The 23,294-nt window shown below is 45.2% G+C and overlaps 1 protein-coding gene across 3 annotated transcripts in view, besides 2 other annotated features; it reads right to left on the bottom strand.

Moving 5' to 3' along the window:
* Window positions 1-16,317, bottom strand: part of GALM (galactose mutarotase) — a 68,652-nt gene extending 52,335 nt beyond the window's left edge. For all 3 annotated transcript variants that reach the window (NM_138801.3, XM_047443419.1, XM_011532540.3), the window contains exons 1-3: window positions 16,080-16,317; window positions 6,365-6,519; window positions 945-1,151 (exon numbers count right to left, since the gene is read on the bottom strand). In NM_138801.3, the coding sequence (NP_620156.1) occupies window positions 945-1,151; window positions 6,365-6,519; window positions 16,080-16,269 (552 nt within the window). In that variant the 5' untranslated portion in view covers window positions 16,270-16,317. The remainder of the gene's footprint in view (window positions 1-944; window positions 1,152-6,364; window positions 6,520-16,079) is intronic.
* Window positions 15,540-16,052: an enhancer, noted in NCBI's record as "H3K27ac-H3K4me1 hESC enhancer chr2:38893521-38894033 (GRCh37/hg19 assembly coordinates)". NCBI's record gives its function as "activates a minimal SCP1, AML or CMV promoter by ChIP-STARR-seq in naive H9 embryonic stem cells {active_cell/tissue: H9 hESC(naive)}" and the evidence as "EXISTENCE:reporter gene assay evidence [ECO:0000049][PMID:30033119]".
* Window positions 16,053-16,565: an enhancer, noted in NCBI's record as "H3K27ac-H3K4me1 hESC enhancer chr2:38893008-38893520 (GRCh37/hg19 assembly coordinates)". NCBI's record gives its function as "activates a minimal SCP1, AML or CMV promoter by ChIP-STARR-seq in naive H9 embryonic stem cells {active_cell/tissue: H9 hESC(naive)}" and the evidence as "EXISTENCE:reporter gene assay evidence [ECO:0000049][PMID:30033119]".

Below are 23,294 nucleotides of genomic sequence, written 5' to 3'. Positions count from 1 at the left end.
AAAGGTGAGATATTACTAGCTGACTGTGAACACCATCTTGCGGTAGAAAATCAGGCCAAAGTGAGTCAAGTATAGTAGACAATGATGAGTTCTTCAGATAAAGAGGAAGTAATAGATATAATCTACAGAGTTTAGCTAAGCTTTTTATTCTGTCTGATATGATATCCTCCTCAATGAGCTAAACTGTTACCTTTAGGAGGGAATGAGGTAGTTCAGAAGGGATCACTTAAGGGGGGTTGTCAGCAGCTCTACACCACTCTTATGTGGGCAGTTCAAGTGGTCCCCCACTGGGGTTTATCCCTCTGCTGGGTTGATTTTAGTGTCTTAACCAACAACTTCATAAAGGGCTTCTAACAGCAGCTGACAAATAGTAGGTAGTGTTATTACTATGAAATTGAGAATATGCCTTTATTAAGCTAAAAAAACCAGGTCTTCTAAATCCAAGTCCAGTGCTCTTTCCACGGTACTGCGCAGGGCAGGACTGGCCCACCCAAACCCCTGGGAGGAGCTGGCAGGCTCACAGGGGAAGCACACACATATTGGCAGCATATCTAAAGGAGCTGGACCATGCCCATTTCCAAAGCTCCAAGGGTGGAAGGCACCTTAATTGGAACAAATTTGCAGGGAGTAGACGTGGAATAAGGGAAGCAAATATAAGCACATGTTACAATTAGATTCTGAGAGGGAGTTCTTGAAACAGCTAGTTACTTGTCTGAAGCAAACGGGAAACAGGTACTTCTCTTGGCAGTACAATGTAATCATTCTGTCTTTCTCTATAATTTTCAATTATTGAGCACCTACTATAAGCCCTCTGCTGGGCCCTTTTCATCATCATGAGGGTGACCTCACTGCCACAGCAATTCCACACTACTCTGATCTCTCTAGCCACAGCCCAGGACATTCCACAAAGCACGAAGCAGGAAAGAAGAAACAAGTTCACTTACCTGGCCTGCCAGGTTGAAGTAAGAATGGTTGGTCAGGTTGACTGGTGTGGCCTGACTGGCTTGTGCTCTGTAGTTGACTATGAGCTCTCCGCCATCCAGGGTGTATGTCACCCAGACTTTTAACTCTCCGGGGTAGCCTTCTTCACCATCTGGACTGATGCGCGAGAACTGGACGCCATTTGACAGCACCCGAGGGGTCCAGAGCACCTGGAAAAAAGTGTTTTCAAAGTTGTGTAGTTGCTCCATCCTCAAGCTAAATGCCATATTTCAATATTTAAAGACAACTGATTTCACAAGGAAAATGGTTATACAATCAATTAAGACTTTTTAATGATAGCCTGGATTTTTTTTTTTTTTGAGACAGGGTCTCACTATGTTGTCCAGGCTGCAGTGCAGTGATACAGTCTTGGCTCTGCAACCTCCACCTCCCAGGTTCAAGCAATTCTCAAGCCTCAGCCTCCCGAGTATGATTACAGGCATGAGCCACTGTACCTGGCTAATTTTTGCATTTTTCGTAGAGACGGGGTTTTGCCATGATGACCAGGCTGGTCTCGAACTCCTGACCTCAAGTGATCCACCTGCCTCGGCCTCCCAAGGTGCTGAGATTACAGGCATGAGCCACCGCACCTGGTCCCTGGATTTTAATTATTACAAATGTTTGTTTTTCTCTACCTTCTCACACTCCCCATTCTCTTTTCTCTAACTTTGTACGATGTGTGTCTACAATATTTTCCTCTCCTCTTCTTTGATGATTTTTCTTTGATTTTTTTTTTTAATCTTGTAGCCCCACTCTGCTAAACGCCATATAGCAATATCTGCTGAGAGTATTAAAAAAAACTTTAATAAATCAGCCCCTGTCTCCTAGGGGTATATATACAAATATTTATTAAAATCCCTACAAGGCTCTCTGTGTTCCCTAGGCAGAGTTCAAAACAAATAAGGCATTTGTGCCATTAAGAAGAGTTGTAGCCTACAAGTCAAGAGTCCTGATTTGAGGGGCCTCATTTGTCCCTAGCTCATTGTGTGACTCTAGGCATTAATCTCTTTCATAAAATAAAGGGGTTGAAGAAATTATCTCGAAGTTTCTTCTTGTTCCAGAAAATATGATTCTAAGACTGGCAAAAAAAAGTATGAAGAAGAGTTTATTTTTAAAGTTTTTTTTTGTGGTCAGGTGCAATAGCTCATGCCTGTAATCCCAACACTTTGGGAGGCTGAGGCAGGAGGATCGCTTGAGCTCAGGAATTCAAGACCAGCCTGGGCAACATAGTGAGATGTCATCTCTATGAAAAAGTTTAAAAAAATTAGCGAGGTATGGTGGTGCATACCTGTAGTCCTAGCTACTCGGGAGGCTGAGAAGGGAGGATCGCTTGAGCCCAGGAGGTTGAGGCTGCAGTGAGCCGAGATCGCACACACCATTGCACTCCAATCTGGGTGACAGAGTAAGACATTGTCTCAAAAAAGTAAATAAATAAATAAAAGGCATTTTGCTTTTGGAAATAGGAATTGGAATCTTGGATTAACATAGTGGCTGTTCTCAACTTTGTCCTAGAGGCTCCAAGATTACACTTATAGGGAAGGGAAAACGAACACTTATCGGGTGCCCATTATGAGTCAAGACTCTTTGCTACAAACTTCACAGACACTGTCTATCTGTCTCAAAGCAGACTTAAAGTAGGTAACATCATCCTCATTGAATAATGAAAGAATGGAGGCTCAGTGAGGATAAACCGCTTGCCCCAGGCCACACAGCTAGTGTGTGGCATTGGACTGGATCCTGAGACTGTTCCCTTACTCTATACTATCAGGGGATGAGTTGGCCAGAGATTCCCAGTGCCTTTAGAGAGCTCTGGGATCACTAAAGAAGGGGCCTGTTGCAGGCATGAGACCTCCAACTTGTTGAGTGCTCAATAGTCAATGACCTGGTGCTTTACATAAATCATCTTGCAAGGTAAAGATTTGGTTGCCCAAATGAAATGACCATCATTGTAGGTCAAAACAGTTGAACACTGGCAATTTCATGTGGCTTCAACAAATATTATTTACCTCCATTTTACAGATGAGCAAATTGAGTTCAGTGGAGTTAACTTATACCCACATCTACCTTCTACATTCCTAGTGTGTGTCGGGGGCGGTGGGGAGTTTCATACTACCTGTCCATTGTTTAGAAGGAAAAAAAAATCTTGTTTAAAGTCACACATGTGGCCGGGTGCAGTGGCTCACACTTGTAATCACAGCACTTTGGGAGGCCAAGGCGGGCAGATCACTTGAGGTCAAGAGTTCGAGACAAGCCTGGCCAACATGGTGAAACTTCGTCTCTACTAAAAATACAAAAATTAGCCACGTATGGTGGCTCATGCCTGTAATCCCAGCTACTCGGGAGGTTGAGGCAGGAGAACCACTTGAACCTGGGAAGTGGAGGTTGTAGTGAGCCAAGATTGCGCCACTGCACTCCAGCCTGGGCAACAGAGTGAGACTCCGTGTCAAAAAATAAATAAATAAATAAAGTTATACATGTTATTTGTGACAGAGCTGGGGTTCAAACTCAGGACTGGCTGTCTCCTCTATTCCACATCTTAGTCTCAGTGAAGTTTTTGTCTGAATCTTCCTTTTCAACAGAAGAGTTGAGGCCAAACTCTATGGACTTGAAAGATAATAGCCTCTGTGGGCCACAGGAGTGGTCTCTGAGCCCAGGATCTGTCCACTTTGCTCTCACAGACGTGGCATTTGCCAGGAAGGAGAACCCAGCAGGAACGGAGGTCTCTGCCTTCACCTACAGTGAAGGCAGCTGGTATGTGAAATACTTTCACTGAGCTTAGTGAAAAATTCATTTTACACCCTAGTTAGCTCCCAGAAAGGTTGAACTTTCAAGACACTCAAAATATGAAGCCTGTTATATGTGTAATTAAAAAAGAAATAGAATATCCCAAATGGAACATTTCAGGAATTAAATAATTGAAATGAAATCTTAACTTGCTACCTAGTTTTTCTTTTGTAGAGAAAGGACACAATGGAAAGATTTTTGTGTAAACCAATATGATTGGTTAAGCATAATTCCTATTTATGGAAGGATTTCCCTGAGCCTGTAGTTTCCAAATTTCCAGAAACTCTGCAGCTCTAGATCTTCTTATACCATTTCAAATCCTATTCAACTGTCATCTTAAAAAAAAATGTGTTGGTGGCCGGGTGCGATGGATCATGCCTGTAATCCCAGCACTTTGGGAGGCCGAGGTGGGTGAATCACCTGAGGTCGGGAGTTTGAGACCAGCCTGACCAACAAACCCTGTCTCTACTAAAAATACAAAATTAGCCAGGCATGGTGGCGAATGCCTGTAATCCCAGCTACTTGGGAGGCTGAGGCAGGAGAATTGCTTGAACCCAGGAGGTGGAGGTTGTGGTGAGCTGAGATGGCGCCATTGCACTCCAGCCTGGAAAATGAAAGCAAAACTCTGCCTCAAAAAAAAAAAAAAAAGAGTTCAAAGTCTTTCCCCACCCCTCTCAGGGCCACTGTGCAGTCATTCTCTCCCATATCCATGTATTGAATGAAATGCTATTGGCTCTTCAAGGCCAGTTCCAATCCTATCTCCTAGGCTGCTATTTCATTTGTTCACACATGTTCCTGTCTTCTCTGGCTTGTTATGGTGCTTGTGGCCATTCGCCTTTAACAGTTATCATGTAAGAGTCCATCTCCCTCTTTATACTGTGAGCCTCAGGAGTCCTTGGCCTACTGTGCCCCCTGCTTCACAGAAGGGGCTCAAGGGCACACTGCACTGAAGGCTAGGTACACTCACGATTTTGCTGTGTTCTTGAAGGGAATATAAGTTAAGCAACACCACGGAAAATGCCACAGTGAACAGGGGGAGCAGGGGCAAGCTAGAACGAGGTGCTGTCCTAAGGCTCCTCTGAAGATCCCTGTCTGAAGCCAGGCTGGGCCTTACTTTCTCTGGTTGGGGTTTGCTCATGATCCTGGCATGTTCTAGAGACTCTGCCCTAATACTGGCAGAGCACATGCTGCCCTCTGCCTCCCTGGCATGAAGAATCCCATCACTGAGGAAAGGGAAACCCATGGGGCAGTCAGTCTAGTTCCAGGCCACCAGCAGGAAGCTCATGGAGGCGGGGAAGCCTCCTTCTGCAGGACAAGTGGTGGTTAGAGGCAGAAGAGAAGAAACTGTGGCCATTAGTGGCCATACATGTTCCTGTCTTCTCTGGCTCTTCTCTGGCTCTTCTCTAGCAAATAACCTGGGTGGTATAATTTAAAAGAAAGTTAACTACTGAAATTTACTCCTGCACAGCCTGAAATTAGACTAGTAAGAGAGCAATCACTGGGGTTAACCCATAGACTCCCATGGGGCTAGGAAGCAGGAGGCCAAGCACTCCCACCCCAGGGAGAAGCTGTTCGATCAATTTGCTTTCCTGACCTTGTTTTCTAGGGATCTGCTTAAAGAATGGTCGTTTTCATGTGGAGAGGAGGAACTGGGGAGAATCTGATATGATTTTGAGGCATGAGGCACTTCAGTGGAAGGGCAGGCCTTGGTGCAGCGCCATGCTGCATGGGGCGGGGGGCTTAATGACAGGTACAGGGAAGCATGTTGGACGGGGGCACCCATGCAGCCTGGGTGGACACCAGCAGCTATGGTGTAAGAATGAGTGTTTTGGGCCAGGCAGCCCTGGTTGTCCCACTTAGGAGTCATGTGGCCCTTTATTTATTATTTATTTTTTATTTTTTTGAGACGGACTCTGGCTCTGTTGCCCAGGCTGGAGTGCAGTGGCGTGATCTCAGCTCACTGTAACTTCCACCTCCCACATTCAAGCGATTCTCTTGCCTCAGCCTCCAGAGTAGCTGGGATTACAGGTGGCCGCCACCACACCCAGCTAAGTTTTGTATTTTTCGTAGAGACGGGGTTTTACCATGTTGGCCAGGCTGGTCTTAAACTCCTGACCTCAGGTGACCTGCCCACCTCGGCCTCCCAGAGTGCTGGGATTACAGGCGTGAGCCACTGTGCCTGGCCATGTGGCCTTTCAGTGCCTCGGTTTTCCCATTTAGTGATAACACAGAGTTTTAGTAAGAGTAAGAGATAATATATGTCAATGTCTTGTCCAATAAGTGGAAGATACTGTTATCAATCCACATCTCTTCAACCCGACTCCCTGATCTCAACACTGTGAGAAAGTTGTTTCTCATTTTTCCTAAGTCAAAGGTTGACATCCTTTCTCTTGGGGCTCCCCTGTCTGTTCCAACAGATGAACTAGAGAAGGATGGGTCCTAGCACATGCCCATTGCACCTGCTGCCCTGAACCATGGAAGGGGCCTCTTTCCTGCATCTCACCACTCATGTGCTCTAGGGCCTATGACTGTGCCTGGCAAGCAGAAGGTATGCGTAAAGTGAGCCTAAAGGGAACTCAGTCACATGTGCCGTACTTACTTTATCAAACCCTCTGACTCCTCCATGCAGACTGTTGGGTTCCTTGTTAATGGCCAGGTGATACTCCTTCCCATCCACCTTGAAGGTTCCTTTGGCGATTCGGTTGGCCACCCTCCCAATAACTGCTCCAAAGTATGGCTGCTTTTGGAGGTATCCTGCAAGGACAAGGGATGACAGCACTTTTAAAACTTCAATTCAGGCTGGGCACGGTGGCTCACACCTGTAATCCCAGCACTATGGGAGGCCGAGGCAGGCGGATCACAAGGTCAGGAGATCGAGACCATCCTGGCTAACACGGTGAAACCCTGTCTCTACTAAAAATACAAAAAAATTAGCTGGGCGTGGTGGCCGGCGCCTGTAGTCCCAGCTACTCGGGAGGCTGAGGCAGGAGAATGGCATGAACCTGGGAGGTGGAGCTTGCAGTGAGCCGAGACCGCGCCACTGCATTCCAGCCTGGGCGACAGAGCGAGACTCCATCACACACACACACACACACACACACACACACACACACACACACACAAAAAAAAAAAAAAAAAACAAAAAAACCCTCAATCCAAAGGTGTGTTGCATGCCACTGTCCCTCACCTTCTTCAGACGAATGCTGCACATGGTAACATCTTGGGCATGTCAAAGTCCTCACTGAATCACAGAAAATGGCTTTCATTACATACGATCCTTTCCTTTTCCAAAAGTAATTAATATTCATTATACAAAATTGTAAAGAATTTTATACAGCACAAAGAAAAAACTGAAATTATCCTTCATCTCATCACTCGAGAGAGCCACTGCTAATATTCTTATGTGCACACACTCTTCCATCTTTTAGTATATGCATCTGTGTGCTTTTTTCTTTCTTTTTATAAAACTATTTGTTGTGGTGGTGGTTGTTAAGACAGAGTCTCACTCTGTTGCCCAGGCTGGAGTGCAGTGGCCCCATCTCGGCTAACTGCAAACTCCATCCCCCAGGTTCAAGTGGTTTTCTTGCCTCAGCCTCCTGAGTAGCTGGGAGTAGAGGCATGCACCACCACACCAAGCTAATTTTTGTATTTTTAGTAGAGACGGGGTTTCACCATGTTGGCCAGGCTGGTCTCGAACTCCTGACCTCAGGTGATCTGCCCAACTCGGCCTCCCAAAGTGCTGGGATTACAGCCATGAGTTACTGTGCCCAGGCTTTTCTCTCTTTCAAAACATCTTATTGTACTGTATGCACCTATTTTCAATCCAAAGTTGACTCTGAGTAACTGAAACTGCAGGAAGCAAAACTATGGTTGAAGGGGGACTGTATAACACTGCTTTGTAATCTCCTTTTCTCTAGGCCAAAGTTATACTTTCGTGTGGTCTTGAGGGGAAGCGATCTTATTCTTTCTCTTCTTATTTTTTTAAATCACATAATTAGTACATTAAAATATCCTTTAGAGAGAGTTAGGTAATACACAAGGATATAGAGTAGGTTTGCCAGAGGAAATATAGAATGCTTGGTTAAATGTGAGTTTCAAATAAACAACAAATAATTGCTTAGTATAAGTTTGTTCATGTTATTATTATACATGGGACATACTTATACTTTAAAAGTTGTGTCCAGGCGCGGTGGCTCACGCCTGTAATCCCAGCACTTTGGCAGGCTGAGAAGGGTGGATCACGAGGTCAAGAGATTGAGACCATCCTGGCCAACACGGTGAAACCCCGTCTCCACTAAAAATACAAAAATTAGCTGGGTGTCGTGGCCTGTGCCTGTAGTCCCAGCTACTTGGGAGGCTGAGGCAGGAGAATCGCTTGAACCCAGGAGGCAGAGGTTGCAGTGAGCCAAGATCATGCCATTGCACTCCAGCCTGGCGACAGAGCGAGACTGTCTCAAAAAAAAAAAAAAAAAAAGTATAAGCTGTTTATTTGAAATCCACATTTAACCAGGCATCCTGTACTTTTATTTGTGAAGTCTAGCAACCTAAACAAGGACTAAAACACAAAAGCCTTCCTTCACCTCTCCACTCCCCTCCTTTCCAATGGTAACCACTATTAACAGTCTGGCACGTACACTTCATTTAAAAATTTGAATTAACTACATATTAGCAAATATATAAATACACAAACACACATATTCCATATAAAGAGAATCATACTACATAGAGTATCACACTATAATCGTACATTGTTCTGCAACTTTTCATTTATCAAATATCTTCAGATTGCTCCATGTCATGACATATCTACCATATTCCTTTTTATTTTTTTTTGAGTTCCCTTTTTTTTTTTTTTTGAGACGGAGTCTCGCTCTGTCGCCCAGGCTGGAGTACAGTGGCACGATCTCAACTCACTGTAAGCTCCGCCTCCCAGGTTCACGCCATTCTCCTGCCTCAGCCTCCCGAGTAGCTGGGACTACAGGCACCCGCCACCATGCCCGGCTTATTTTTTGTATTTTTAGTAGAGACGGGGTTTCACCGTGTTAGCCAGGATGGTCTCGATCTCCTGACCTTGTAATCCACCCGCCCCGGCCCCATATTACTTTTGATGGCTACATGGTATAATAATCAGCATAAACTGTTTGGGGCCTTTTTAGGGGAGGGGCTGTAAAAAGCAAAGTAGCGTCCTCATACTTACAACTTTGGGCGTGGGCATATTATGGTACTTTTCTTCTCTTTAAATTCCTCTGTGCTTACTTTACGATGGAAAAGATTAAGGTCTGGAGATTGTTTTCTGTATTATTACCAAGATTACTTTCCACTCTAGTTTTCACTTAGATGTCCTCTGAATTCCATTCCCTTTTCCCGTGGTACTCTGTATCTGTCATGTCTACTTCAGATCAGCAGAGAATGCAATTCAAGCATATGAACTATTTTTTCAAGGGATGGAGAGGCTCTCAGGATACAGACCCTGAGCTGATTAGGCCAGTTACAGGTCACAGGTTTCCATTACCCAACTGGTTGGGTACAAATTAAACATTAATCCTTCTCTTCCAGGCCTTTCCTGGTTTGCTTCTTTGCTAATCTGCAGGTGCATCAGAGTGTTGCCCATTGACTATCATAATAGCTAACACTTACTGAGTGTTGTGTTTTTTTTGAGACGGAGTTTTGCTCTTATAGCCTGGGCTGGAGTGCAGTGTGCGGTCTTGGCTCACTGCAACGTCCGCCTCCTGGATTCAAGCAGTTCTCCTGCCTCAGCCTTCCAAGTAGCTGGGATTACAGGTGCCCGCCACCAAGCCCAGCTAAATTTTTTTTTTTTTTTAATAGAGATGGGTTTTCACCATGTTGGCCAGGCTGGTCTCAAACTCCTGACCTCAGGTGATCCACCTGCCTTGGCCTCCCAAAGTGTGTCCCAGCCACTTTCTAAGTGCTCTACATTTACTTCATTTCATACTCAGAACGTTTCTATGATGTAGACACTATTACTATCCCAATTTACAGATGTGGAAACTGAGGACAGAAAAGTTAAATAACTTGCCCCAAAACACACAGCTAAGTAGTGGCAGAACCAAGACTTGAATCCAGACAGTCTAGCTCATGAGTCCATGTTCTTCAGTATCAAATTATGTGAAAAGCGCAGGCTTTCTGGTTATTAACCTTACCTCCATCCCTAGGCACAGGCCAGGCTGATCTCTCTCTCTCCTATTCCCACCTCTCCCCACCTTCTTCTCTTTCTGAAAATAGCTTTAAAAGCCCATACACTGGTTAACCAAAAGGAGTCCCAAAGAGCCAAACAATCTTTCCTTGGTTTTGTTTCATCCGCTTTTCAGAAGCTCAAAAATTATAGAAAAGCAGAATTTTTTTTCTAAAAAACAAGATGTTTGACTGTAGAGATTTTTGAGTCCTACTTTGATTCATTCAACAAGTGAACACTGAGCTCCCGCTCTCTGCCAGAGGCACACTGGGTGTTGGAGACAACCACAAAGCCAACAGCAGGGCTCCTACCACATGGGCTTGCAAGAATTCCCTTACAAGTGACCACTACCCAAAACCAATCACGTCATGAAGATAAGAAGCACTTGCCAGGCCAGTTCCTTGGTTTGGAGGAATAGGGTTTTTTTGTTGTTTTTTTTTTTCCCCATAATTATCAGGGTTTTTTTTGTTTTTGTTTTTGTTTTTTTGAGACAGGGTCTTTCTCTGTCACCTAGGCTGGAGTGCAGTGGTGCCATCACGGCTCATTGCAGCCTTGACCTCCAGGCTCAGGTCCCCACCTCAGCCTCCCAAATAGCTGGGACTACAGGCATGCGCCACCACACCTGGATACTTTTTGTATTTTTTCTAGAGACAGAGTGTCCCTGTGTTGCCCAGGCTGGTCTTGAACTCCTGAGCTCAAGTGATCCTCCCACCTAGGCTTCTCAAAGTGCTGGGATTACAGGTGAGAGCCACTGTGCCCCTGGAGGAATAGTTTTTAAGAATTTAAGCACAGCAGAAATCCTGTCTCTGAAAAACCCTTTAGAACAAATAAATTTTATACTACCTTCAAATGTTACTGATACGCTTTGGCTTTGTGCTCCCACCCAAATCTCATCTCGAATTGTAATCCCACCTGGTGGAGGTAATTGGATCAGGGGGGCGGTTCCCCCATGCTGTTCTTGTGATAGTCAGTGAGTTCTCACGAGAGCTGATGATTTAAAAGTGGCAATTTCCCCTCCTTTCTGTCTCTCTCCTACTGCCGTGTAAGATCTGTCTAGCTTCCTCCTCGCCTCCTGCCATGATTGTAAGTTTCCTGAGGCCTCCCCATCCATGAGGAACTGTGAGTCAACTAAACCTATTTTCTTTATAAATTACCCAGTCTCAGGCAGTTCTTCTATAGCAGTGGACTAATAGTTACTAAGCTTTCACATCAAATCGGAATTACAAAAGTGACAATCCCCAAATCCCGAATAAGGCATGGCTAAAAATTTGTTTTGAAATGCAGAAAATACTATTTTTCATGAAAATGTTCAAAGTTCCTAGGTCAAGCCATGAATATTGATTTAACCAAGTCAATTGCTGAGCTTAGAGTAGAGGAAACGCTTCCCCCTTTCCTGGGCAAGGCACTGGCGAGAATAAATTAATAAATGCTTAATCATGGGATATGGCCCTTTCCACTCCTCTAACAACCCAAGGACCACACTGTGACACCCAATTTGGACAGCCCAAAATTAGCCAGAGTGCACTAAAGTCTGAAATAAAATTACTCACCACTCTCAATCAAAACCCCCATTCACAGAATGACTTATCCTTTGGTTATATGAAGAAAACAATTTAATTAATAAGCACTTTAGTAATCTCAGATAATTTATATACTTTTTAGTGGCTGCTTGCTGTCCTAGTTGAATCTCCATGCCATTTTTTGCAGTGTTAATTAAGTGAAATAAAAAGTTCTAGTAGAGTCAGAGATGGTATTTGGGGGCAAAGGAAAGAAAGGGGATAAAAATGATTAGTTGCTCCCTCTGATCAGAGACGTATCAAATATGTGGTCAGATATGGTTAGACACATATCACAGCCCATGGCTCATTAAATCATCACAATCCATTTGTTTCACGTGAGAAAATAGGTCTGGAGAGTTTAAGTAAATTGCCCGGGGTCGCACAGCTTTAAGGAAGGAAGCAGAACTTTAAACCAGGAATTTTCAATGCTCCCACCAGGGTGCTCCTGGGCGTGAGCGACAATAAACTGCAGCCTCTAACCTGATCCTTTTTTTTCCTCATCCCTGCTTCTGAACCCAGGTTTTCTAAAGGCACTAAATTTACTTTTTCTATTTTTTCCTTAATGCCTCTCATGGCAGTTAATAGCCAGGTCTTTGGTGGCAACTGGGGGAAACATGAAAAGGAAGGCGTTTCAATGATTGTATGGGTAGGTTGTTTATACCTGTGGCTTATAAGCAAATATTTTCAGCACAGGCTTTGAAAGAAATCATAATGACTGTAGGTGGGACATGCCGATGAAAAATATTTTTAGGCTGGGCGTGGTGGCTCACACCTGTAATCCCAGCACTTTAGGAGGCTGAGGTAGGTGGATCACTTGAGGTCAGGAGTTTGAGACCAGCCCTGACCAATATGGTGAAACCCCGTCTCTACTAAAAATACAAAAATTAGCCGGGTGTGGTGGTGCCCACCTGTAATTCCAGCTACTTGGGAGGTTAAGGCATGAGAATCGCTTGAACCCAGGAGGTGGAGGCTGCAGTGAGCCGAGATAGCGCCACTGCACTAAAAAAAAAAAAAAAAAGAAAAACTTTTTTTTTCTTCTTTTGAGATGAAGTCTTGCTTTGTCACCAGGCTGGAGTGCAGTAGCACAATCTCGGCTCACTGCAACCTCCACCACCCAGGTTTAAGTGATTCTCCTGCCTCAGCCTCCTGAATAGCTGGGATTACAGGCATGCGCCACCATGCCCAGCTAATTTTTGTATTTTTAGTAGAGATGGGTTTCACCATGTCGGCCAGGATGGTCACTGTCTCTTGACCTTGTGATCCACCCACCCAGAGTGCTGGGATTACAGGCGTGAGCCACCGTGCCCGGCAAAAAACATTTTTAAATACAAAAAAAGGTTGAAAAACTCATAGGAGGCATTACTGATTTTTCTAGGCTGTTGTAGCAGGACGAGCCGCAGACAAAACTCCTTAGACACCGGATTGAAGAAGGCAGACTTGCGTCTCAAAAGCCGAGCTCACCGCGTGAGCAATTCCCGTCCCTTTTAAGGGCTTACGACTCTAAGGGGGTCTGCGTGAGAGGGTCGTGATCGATTGAGCAAGCCAGGGGTACCTGACTGGGGGCTGCATGCACCGGTAATCAGAACAGAACACAACAGGACAGGGATTTTCACACTGCTTTTCTATAAAATGTCTGGAATCTATAGATAACATAACTGGTTAGGTCAGGGGTCGATCTTTAACTACCAGGCCCATGGCGTAGTGCCGGGCTGTCTGCCTGTGGATTTCGTTTCTGCCTTTTAGTTTTTACTTCTTTCTTTGGAGGCAGAAATTGGGCATAAGGCAATATGAGGGGTGGTCTCCTCTCTTACTGTAACTAAAAATTTATATAATTTTCTTCTTTAGAATTCTATGAAAGAAAAAAATCCCATTTTCCCAGGGAGAAACTGAACCATTCTGACCTCTGGTTATGGCTGTCATCCAAACAGTTTATATAACCTGTCTGGGAAATTGAAGATTGTTCATATCTAACTCTGCAGTTACAAAAGGACCATGTCTCATGGAATTATCCACGCTCAGATCTTCCGCATGGCTCAAAACCATTTTTGGGATATGGTAATGTCAAGATAACCCCTTATTCTGTCAAGTATTTAAAAAAATTTTTTTTAAATTTAAATTTATTTATTTATTTATTTATTTTTATTTATTTTAGAGACAGGGTCTCACTATGTTGCTCAGGCTGGTCTCAAACTCCTGGCCTCAAGCGATCCTCCCACTTTGGACTCCTAGGATTACAGGTGTGAGCCACCATGCCGGCCTCTGTCAAGTCTTATTACTTTAAATTATTTACCTCTGTTTGTTTATATATACTTACATACTCTGATGGTTTAAAAGAATATGCAGTGAAAATTAAGTCTCCTTCCCATCCTCTGCACCCTGGGCACCCAGGATCCTTTCTTAACAACCACTGTTACCAGTTTATTGTTAACATAGGTTTTAATGCACTAGAAATGTAGTATCAGAGCACCATCAAAATAGTAACAGAGTGTTGTATATCTCCCCTGTAAGAGTCACAGCCCACACCTCTACAACAAACACAGGGTAACAAGAGAAAAGCAAAACAGCTGGGCACAGTGGCTCATGTCTGTAATCCCAGCACTTTGGGAGGCTGAAGTGGGAGGATTGCTTGAGGCCAGTAGTTCGAGGCTGCAAGTCAGCTATAATTGCACTACTCCACTCTAGCCTGGGTGACAGAGCGAGACTCCACCTCTAAAAAATAAAAAATACATAAAAAAGCCAAACAAATTTATTTGATTATAGTTTTATGTGACACGGGAGCTTTCAGAATGAAGACCGACAGATACAAGGAAAACAATCCATTTCTATGCTTAGGTCCAATGGAACATGGACAGCCATGTAGAAATATGATTGGACCAAAAGGGTAAGATCTGTTGCTAATAGAGTGAGTGGGGAAACTCGGCAAGGCCTGTGTTCAGATTTTTCTTGGCCTCCCCATGCAGCATTTCTTCCTCCGGGTATGGGGCAGGACCCCTCTGGAATGAGGGTCTTAATTTCTTTATGGTCAGCTGTTACACAGAAAGGCAGAGGGAAAGGTTAGAGTATATTTTTATTTTTTTGAGATGGGGTCTCACTCTGTCGCCCAGGCTGGAGTGCAGTGGCGCAATCTCGGCTCACTGCAACTTCCGCCTCCCAGATTCAAGTGATTCTCCTGCCTCAGCCTCCCAAGTAGCTGGGATTACAGGTGCCCGCCAGCAGCCTGGCCAACATGGTGAAACCCCATCTCTACCAAAAACACAAAAAAATTAGCCGGGCATGGTGGTGTTCAACAGAAAGCTGAGTTTTGTTTTTTTCCCTGAGGAATTGAAATTTGCTCTCTGTTTTTTAAGATAGAGTTTCGCTCTGCCACCCACGCTGGAGTGCAGTGGCGCAATCTTGGCTCACTGCAACCTCCGCCTCCTGGGTTCAAGCTATTCTCCTGCCTCAGCCTCCTGACTAGCTGGGATTACAGGCACGTGCCACCATGCTCAGCTAATTTTTTTGTATTTTTAGTAGAGACAGGGTTTCACCATGCTGGCCAGGCTGGTCTGGCCAACATGTAACCATGAGCCAAGTTACATATCTTACGTATCGGAAGAACCAAACAGACAGAATGACACACCAAAAGGAAAACCTCAAACCTCCTCTCCAGCAGAATTTGTCTACGCCCCAACCACTGAGCAGAGAGTATTAACTCTCAGTTTCCCTTTGCCAGCTTTATTTCACACCTCATTTTCTGTCTAGTTACACCATGGTGCTAAGAGAGCATGATGTACATTTTCCTTTGCTGCAATCAAGCTGCAATTGTCATTCTTTATTTATGCAATTACTGAGTTAAAGTCTATCTCCCCAGCCAAACCGCAAGAGTGGGGACCTTGTCTGTCCTGTTTAATGAGGTCATCGGATTAATAGAGTTGTCAAATGTATTAATTAATGCCTGATCCTAATTGCCCATGGATTCTGGGATAAAAGTCCATCCTAGTTGGTAGGAGACCTGATCTCTGAGAAGACACTGAGTTGGTCTTCTCTATTTTGTTCCTAAATGGTTATTGGGTAGCTGGTGTACTAGGCAACCACTGAGCTTAGTGGAGCATTTCTGAGACAACCAGGCCTCAAAGAGAATCTGATCAAGGAAGAAGGAAGTAGAAGAGGCAAGTATTTGAATTTCCTTCTTCAGAAGGGAAGAAGTGGGAGCCACACCCCCTCTTGCCTGCTCTTTCCTCTCCAGCCTTCTCCAGGTATCAGGCAGTTCAAAGATTAGGCAGTTCAAAGATCGCTCCAGGATCGCTGAAGTGTATCATACCATCAGCTGACCTTTTACGTTAACTGGGGCAAAGCCTGAACGGATAACCAGAGGCCAACTGCCATAGTTTATTTATTACAGTTTTTCCCAAATGCTGGATGGCCACACGGCCCTCTATGATGCATGCGCTTGCAAGTCAGACGGTCCCAAGCTAGGCGACTTTCCCCCTTGGTCCCTCGCATTGCAAGTGGCCCGCTAGATCCGGGAGGTATGTAGCGTGGGCCTGGGGCCTGCTCGCAGCCCAGGGCACAGTTCAACCCACCTTCCAACTCGGCGAAGCCAAGCACCACGTCCGAGGCTCTCCCCTGCCTGTCTTTGACCTCTAGGGCTGTGATCGTGCAGCCCCAGGAGATGATGTCCACTCTCAAGAGGTCTGACTGCAGCTGGAACTTCTCCACTGTCCCTCCTCCCGAGGGCAGCTCTCCAAACACGGCCCTGGTCACCGAAGCCATAGGGAAAGTTTGGCGTGTGCAGCCACTGCCCGCTCTTCAAACTCCAGCGCTCGCTAAGCTAGAGGCGACCCAAGTTTACAGGAGAAGGGGCGTGACTCGGCTCAGACTCCTCCCTTTCCCTGCCTGGATTTAGGGAGTGACCGTTCCTGCAAAAAATAGCCCCTGGGGCCTTTCTAAATCAATCATTTGCCTGAGGGTAACAAGAGGGGCAAACTTTGCAGCCACACTTGTACTTTTTTTCCTTGGCTCGTCCTGGTTGCATTGCATGTTGGGAATGGTAGTTTTTGGGAGGTGAAATTGCATTTTGGGGCTTGTAGTCTTTCTAAACTCGAATCCTGGGTTGACGGGGTTCTACCCCCATCTCCCCACACCTCAACATGTAATGAGCTGGTCATTAATGTCGGTGGCTATCAGACGAAGAATGGGAAAATACAGATAGCAGACTTACAGTGAGACCGATCTTGGGAAAAAATTAGATTTTAACTCTTTGATACAGGGGGTAAGAAGTACAGCAGTAGTTGGCCGGCTCGGTGGCTCACGCCTGTAATCCCAGCACTTTGGGAGACCGAGGCAGGCGGATCACGAGGTCAGGAGATTGAGACCTTCCTGGCTAACACGGTGAAACCCCGCCTCTACTAAAAATACAAAAAAAAAAAAAAAAAAAAAAAAAAAAAAAAATTAGCTGGGAGTGGTGGTGGGGGCCTGTAGTCCCAGCTACTCGGGAGGCTGAGGCAGGAGAATGGCGTGAACCCGTGAGGCGGAGCTTGCAGTGAGCCGAGATCACGCCACTGCACTCCAGCCTGAGTGACAGAGCGAGACTCCGTCTCAAAACAACAACAACAACAACAACAAAGTACAGTAGTAGCTTAGAAATGAGGTAAATCATCTCAGGCTTCTCTGCACACAGACTTACTGAAGATTCACTCTTTTTGTCCCACGGATGAAGTCCTGGACATGGTTCTGTTAGAGCCACTGCCCAGAAGGCTCTCCTGACGGCCAAAGCTGTGCCAGCCTCGAGGAGCTTGGACCAGACAGGGTCAGGTAGATGGATTAGGCCCTCGGTGTGCGGAGGTGATTAGAGACAGCCTCAGACTTATTTTACTTCAAGGGACTGGAAAGGGACCTCTGGTGTCTTCTGGCTCCTGAAGTCCACAGTTCCTTTAAGAAGGGATTCAGGGAACAAGTATTGATTGAGGTCCTTGTAAATGCCAGGTACTGAACCTTTGTTATCTCCTTTTCTACAAGTAGGATGGAGTCTTCAGGTATGTACAGTTGGAGAGGAAAGACACTAAGGTTATTAAATAATTGTCTTGCTTGATTGTGTCTCAGAATTTGCTGAGGACATTTAAAATGCATATTCCCAGTCCCCACCTCTGGAATTTCTAATTCTGGAAGTCTAGGGTGAAACTCAGGAATCTGCATTTTTCATGTTCCCAAGTTATTCTTCTGCAGATTATCTGGGACCAGATTTAGAGAAATATTGCTCTAAGGCTTGATGAGTAATCTGAATTTTTTTCCCCAAAAAAATAGGCTCTGATGGCAGAAGGATTAAGATAAAGCTATTAAGGGCCTTAATGAGATAACATACAGGCACCTATGTACTTCCTTGCTAAGTCTGGCAACTTTAGAGGAGTACTGAGCCTAGGAAGTGGGAGGATGCTGGGAGCCTAAAGACAAGTTTTACTCAAGCCATCTGCATAATCATCTATCTTTTCTTGATACTGCTCTTGGCTTGGTTCCTGGGTACTTCAGAGGGTATCCAACTAGACTGGGGTGAGTGCAGAAATGAAATGCATCTTTGATTAGGAAATTATGAGAATTGGGATTATGTGCCTGGAATCAGATGCTAATAAAACATAATAACTATCTCTCAGCTTCTTCTGTCTGTAATTTAAGGTATATTTAGCATTCTTGCCATAAAGCCTCAATTCTCCATCATGAAGCAGAAGAATTCTGATAGCAAAGGAAAAATAAAAAAGCTTGCAACAGGCTTCAGTGAAGCTCAACGTATAATAATAAAAAGACCCAAACAAGTCAAATTATAGACTGCATCACACTCATACAATAACCGACAGGCACTCCTATGTGCTGCTTCATCAGAAATTCTCATAAACTCTCAGTTTCATCAGCCACTTAACTTTGTGGTGATTCACACGCAAGCCCTTTGGCAATGCTGTGTTAGCAAGGATGTCTTAGAAAAGTGAGCAGGAAGACCACTTTTTTTTTTCTCAACCTCCAGTTCTCAGTGTTCTGCCAAGCACATGCTGTTACAGAAGGAAATAAATGTATTTGCCTGCCCAATGCTAAATGTCTCTACGGAAGCTCTTTTTACTCCATTTGGTAGAAAATGAATGTACCATGATGTCTCCCTAAAATGTAAAGAGGCCTGGGCGCGGTGGCTCATGCCTGTAATCCCAGCACTTTGGGAGGCAGAAGCGGGTGGATCACCTGAGGTCAGGAGTTCGAGACCAGCTTGATCAATATGGTGAAACGCCATCTCTACTAAAAATAAAAATAAAAAAAAACTAGCCAGGCATGGTGGTATGTGCCTGTAGTCCCAGCTACTCTGGAGGCTGAGACAGGAGAGTTGCTTGAACCAGGGAGGCGGAAGTTGCAGTGAGCTGACGTTGCACCACTGCCTCCAGCCTGGGTGACAGAGTGAGACTCTGTCTCAAAAAAAAAAATGTAAGGAGTACACTTCTTGATTTCATTTTCCTTTGAAGGGTTTAACTAACATATTGTCGCAAATAGCATTACCTTGTGCTTGAATCAACTGTCAGGCACAAACCTTGATTTTTCTCACCCTAATATCCTATTTTTATCCCACAGTGAAACTCTAAAGGAATATCTGTGCACTTAAAAACAAACAAACAAAACCCCTAAATCTAGGGGCAATTCTCCATCTGCAGGGAAGTCAGATGCAAGGTAGTAATCTAGAAAATGAAGCACTGTCAAATTTCAGGAGGTATTTATTTTTATTTTGGGGTAAGGGCCTGAGGATGAGATTATAAGGTAAAGGGAAAAGGGATTATGGCATTTATGTAAAAGGAAAATTACTGGCCAGGCGCGGTGGCTCATGCCTGTAATCCCAGCACTTTGGGAGGCCGAGGCAGGCGGATCACAAGGTCAGAAGATTGAGACCATCTTGGCTAACATGGTGAAACCCCGTCTCTACTAAAAATACAAAAAATTAGCTGGGCATGGTGGCGGGCACCTGTAGTCCCAGCTACTCGGGAGGCTGAGGCAGGAGAATGGTGTGAACCTGGGAGGCGGAGCTTCCAGTGAGCCAAGATCACACCACTGCATTCCAGCCTGGGCAACAGAGAGAGACTCTGTCTCAAAAAAAAAAAAGGAGAATTACTTGAAGTAGATAGCATTTCCTCTAACTAGAAGGGGAGGTGTCAGGGTGGCCAGGTGAAGAATAAGGTCTGGTTTTTTTGTGTGTTTTTTGTTTGTTTGTTTTTTGAGAGGGAGTCTCACTCTGTTGCCCAGGCTGGAGTGCAGTGGCGTGATCTCGGCCCACTGCAACCTCCGCCTCCCGGGTTCAAGCAATTCTCTTGTCTCAGCCTCCTGGGTAGCTGGGACTAACAGGTGCATGCCACCATGCCCTGCTAATTTTTGTATTTTTAGTAGAGACAGGGTTTCACCATATTGGTCAGGCTGGTCTCGAACTCCTGACCTCAGGTAATCCACCCACCTCGGCCTCCCAAAGTGTTGGGATTACAGGCGTGAGCCATTGTGCCCAGCCAAGGTCTGTCTCTTATCAGATAGAGGTAAGTCCCCAAAACTGAGTGCTTGGGAAGCCAGGCGTGAGGAAATCTGAGCTCTTGGAGGCTGCCACCACCTCCTCATTCAACATAGAAATGGCAAGGTGTGTTGTTCCTGGGAGGGGTCAGACCCTGCTTTCATAAAATCACTCTAGGCCGGACGCAGTGGCTCATGCCTGTAATCCCAGCACTTTGGGAGGCCAAGGCAGGAGGATCACTTGAGCCCAGGAGTTTGAGACCAGCCTGGGCAACATAGCGAGACCTCATCTCTGCTAAAAGTAAAAAAAATTAGGCTGGGCACGGTGGCTCATGCCTGTAAGCCCAGCACTTTGGGAGGCTGATGCGGGCGGATCGTGAAGTCAGGAGTTCGAGACCAGCCTGACCAACATGGTAAAACCCTGTCTCTACTAAAAATACAAAAATTAGCCGGGCATGGTGGCAGTCACCTGTAATCCCAGCTACTCGGGAGGCTGAGGCAGGAGAATCGCTTGAACCTAGGAGGCGGAGGTTGCAGTGAGTGGAGATCGCGCCATTGTACTCCAGCCTGGGCAACAAGAATGAAACTCCGTCTCAAAAAAAAATTAGCTGGGTTTAGTAGTGGGCTTCTCTGGTCCCAACTACTTGGGAGGCTGAGGCTGGAGAACTGCTTGAGCCTGGGAGGTTGAAGTTGTAGTGAGCCATGATCACACCACTGCACTCCAGCTGAGGTGACAGAGCAAGACCCTGTTTCAAAAAATAAAATAAAAATAAAAACAACACAAAGTTTTAAGCTATTGACAAGCTGCTATGCAGAGAAAATTCTCTGAGTTATAATAACAAAACTGAGTCACAGTTTGTCTATAAAAAGACCTGGAAAAGATTCTCTCCAGTCACGTTGGTCCATTACCACACTCCTGTTCTCTTTGTCAGTTCTCTGAACTCCAACATTGTTTATTGTCAGTTCTTCTTAATGGGCACTCAGTAGCCACTGTCTCAAATCATTCCTTATGTTTCCATGAGTATATTTTTGTTATTGTTGCTTACTCAACTATCGGCTTCCTGACTCAATAGTTTGACTTACGTATATATAGATATATATTTTTTTGAGAGTCTCACTCTGTGCCCTGGCTGGAGTGCAGTGGCATGATCTTGGTTCACTGCAACCTCCACCTCCCAGGTTCAAGTGATTCTCCTGCCTCAGCCACTCAAGTAGCTGGGACTACAGGCATGTGCCACCATGCCCAGCTAATTTTTGTATTTTTAGTAGAGATGGGGTTTCACCATGTTGGCCAGGCCGGTCTCGTACTCCTGACCTGAGGTGATCCACCCACCTTGGCCTCCCAAAGTGCTGGAATTACAGGCATGAGCCACCGTGCTTGGCCAGACTTACATATTTTTAATTAATTAATTATTTTTTGGAGACGGAGTCTTGATCTGTCACCCAGACTGGAGTGCGATGGTGCGATCTCCACTTACTGCAACCTCCGCCTCCTGGGTTCAAGTGATTCTCCTGCCTCAGCCTCCCGAGTAGCTGGGATTACAGGCACGTGCCACCACTCCTGGCTGATTTTTTATATTTTTAGTAGAGACGAGTTGCACCGTGTTGGCCAGGTTGGTCTCGAACTCCTGACCTCTTGATCCGCCTGCCTCGGCCTCCCAAAGTGCTGGGATTACAGACGTGAGCCCCCGCGCCTGGCCCCATTTTTAATTTATTTTAATTACTTTATTTTTTGAGACAGGGTCTTTCTCCGTAAGCCAGGCTGGTGTTCAGTGGCACAAACATGGCTCACTGCATCCTCAACCTCCTGGGCTCAAGTAATCCTCCTGCCTCAGCCTCCCAAGTAGCTGGGACCATGGGTATGTGCCACCACACCTGGCTCATTTTTAAAATTTTTTAAGAGATGGGGTCTTGCTATGTTGCCCAGGCTAGTTAAAATCTCCTGACCTCAAGCCTTCCTCCTGATTCAGCCTCCCAAAATGCTGAGATTACAGGCACAAGCCACCACATCCAGCCCAACTTATATATTTTTGCAAATCAAACTCACTATACTTGATTTCAGATAAAAACTACCTGTACATGCTGGACTTGGTGGCTCACGCCTGCAATCCCAGCACTTTGGAGGGCTGAGGCGGGTGAATGATTTGAGGTCAGGAGTTTGAGACCAGCCTGGCCAACATGGTGAAACCCCATCTCTACTAAAAATTCAAAAATGAGCCGAGCATGGTGGCGCATGCCTGTAATCCCAGCTACTTGGGAGGCTGAGGCAGGAGAATCACTTGAGCCTGGAAGGCGGAGGTTTTGGTGAGTCAAATTTGCACCATTGCACTCCAGTCTGGGTGACACAGTGAGACCCTGTCTCAAAAACAACAGCAACAACAACAACAAAAACTACCTGTACTGGAAGCTAGGAATCTGAGAGAATCTCATCAAGTTTACAAGAGGTAGAATTATTCACAGTTCAATTTATTTTATTTTATTTTTTTTGAGACAGAGTCTTCCTCTGTCACCCAGGCTGGAGTGCAGTGGCACAGTCTGGGCTCACTGTAACCTCTGCCTCCCAGGTTCACGCTATTCTCCTGCCTCGGTCTCCCAAGTAGCTGGGACTACAGGTGTACGTCACCACGCACGGCTAATTTTTGTATTTTTAGTAGAGACAGGTTTTGCCATGTTGGCCAGGCTGGTCTCAAACTCCTGACCTCAAGTGATCCGCCTGCCTTGGCCTCCCAAAGTGCTGGGATTACAGCTGTGAGCCACTGCACCAAGCCTTCATAGTTTAATTCTACTCAATTGCATCAATGATTTTGGAGCAACTGCTGGGGAAGGCATTATGGGGGGCATGTGAGAAGTTATTTAGGAAGATGGATTAAATTTGACTGCATGGTTTGCTGCATGTGAGAAGTTATTTAGGAAAATGGATTAAATTTGACTGTATGGCGTGTTGCTCATTCATCAAATACTCAATGAGTATGTGCTAGACACTGTGCTAAGTAGTGGTTGTACACTGATAAGTAAAAGTTGGTCTTTGTCTTCAAGGAGCTTACAGTCAAATGTGATACAATCCTCATCTCCGTCCCCCATAAAAGTGAAAATAAAAGCTTCACACTTCATTAACAGCCAATGCTGGATGAAACCTGTCTCAGGATATGTGTAATTTCAGGGTTGCTCAAAGATGACTAGCCCTGTTAGGATTATTTTAGAATTTCCTAGCACCAAGCACCAAGTAACTATCACATAGTAGATGTTCAACAAATAATTATTGGGTGAATCCTGATACATTC

Source organism: Homo sapiens, chromosome 2 (genome assembly GCF_000001405.40).
Source record: "Homo sapiens chromosome 2, GRCh38.p14 Primary Assembly".
NCBI classification, from domain to species: domain Eukaryota; kingdom Metazoa; phylum Chordata; class Mammalia; order Primates; family Hominidae; genus Homo; species Homo sapiens.
Note: the sequence above shows the minus strand (reverse complement) of the source record. Positions and strands in the feature narration are given on the sequence as shown.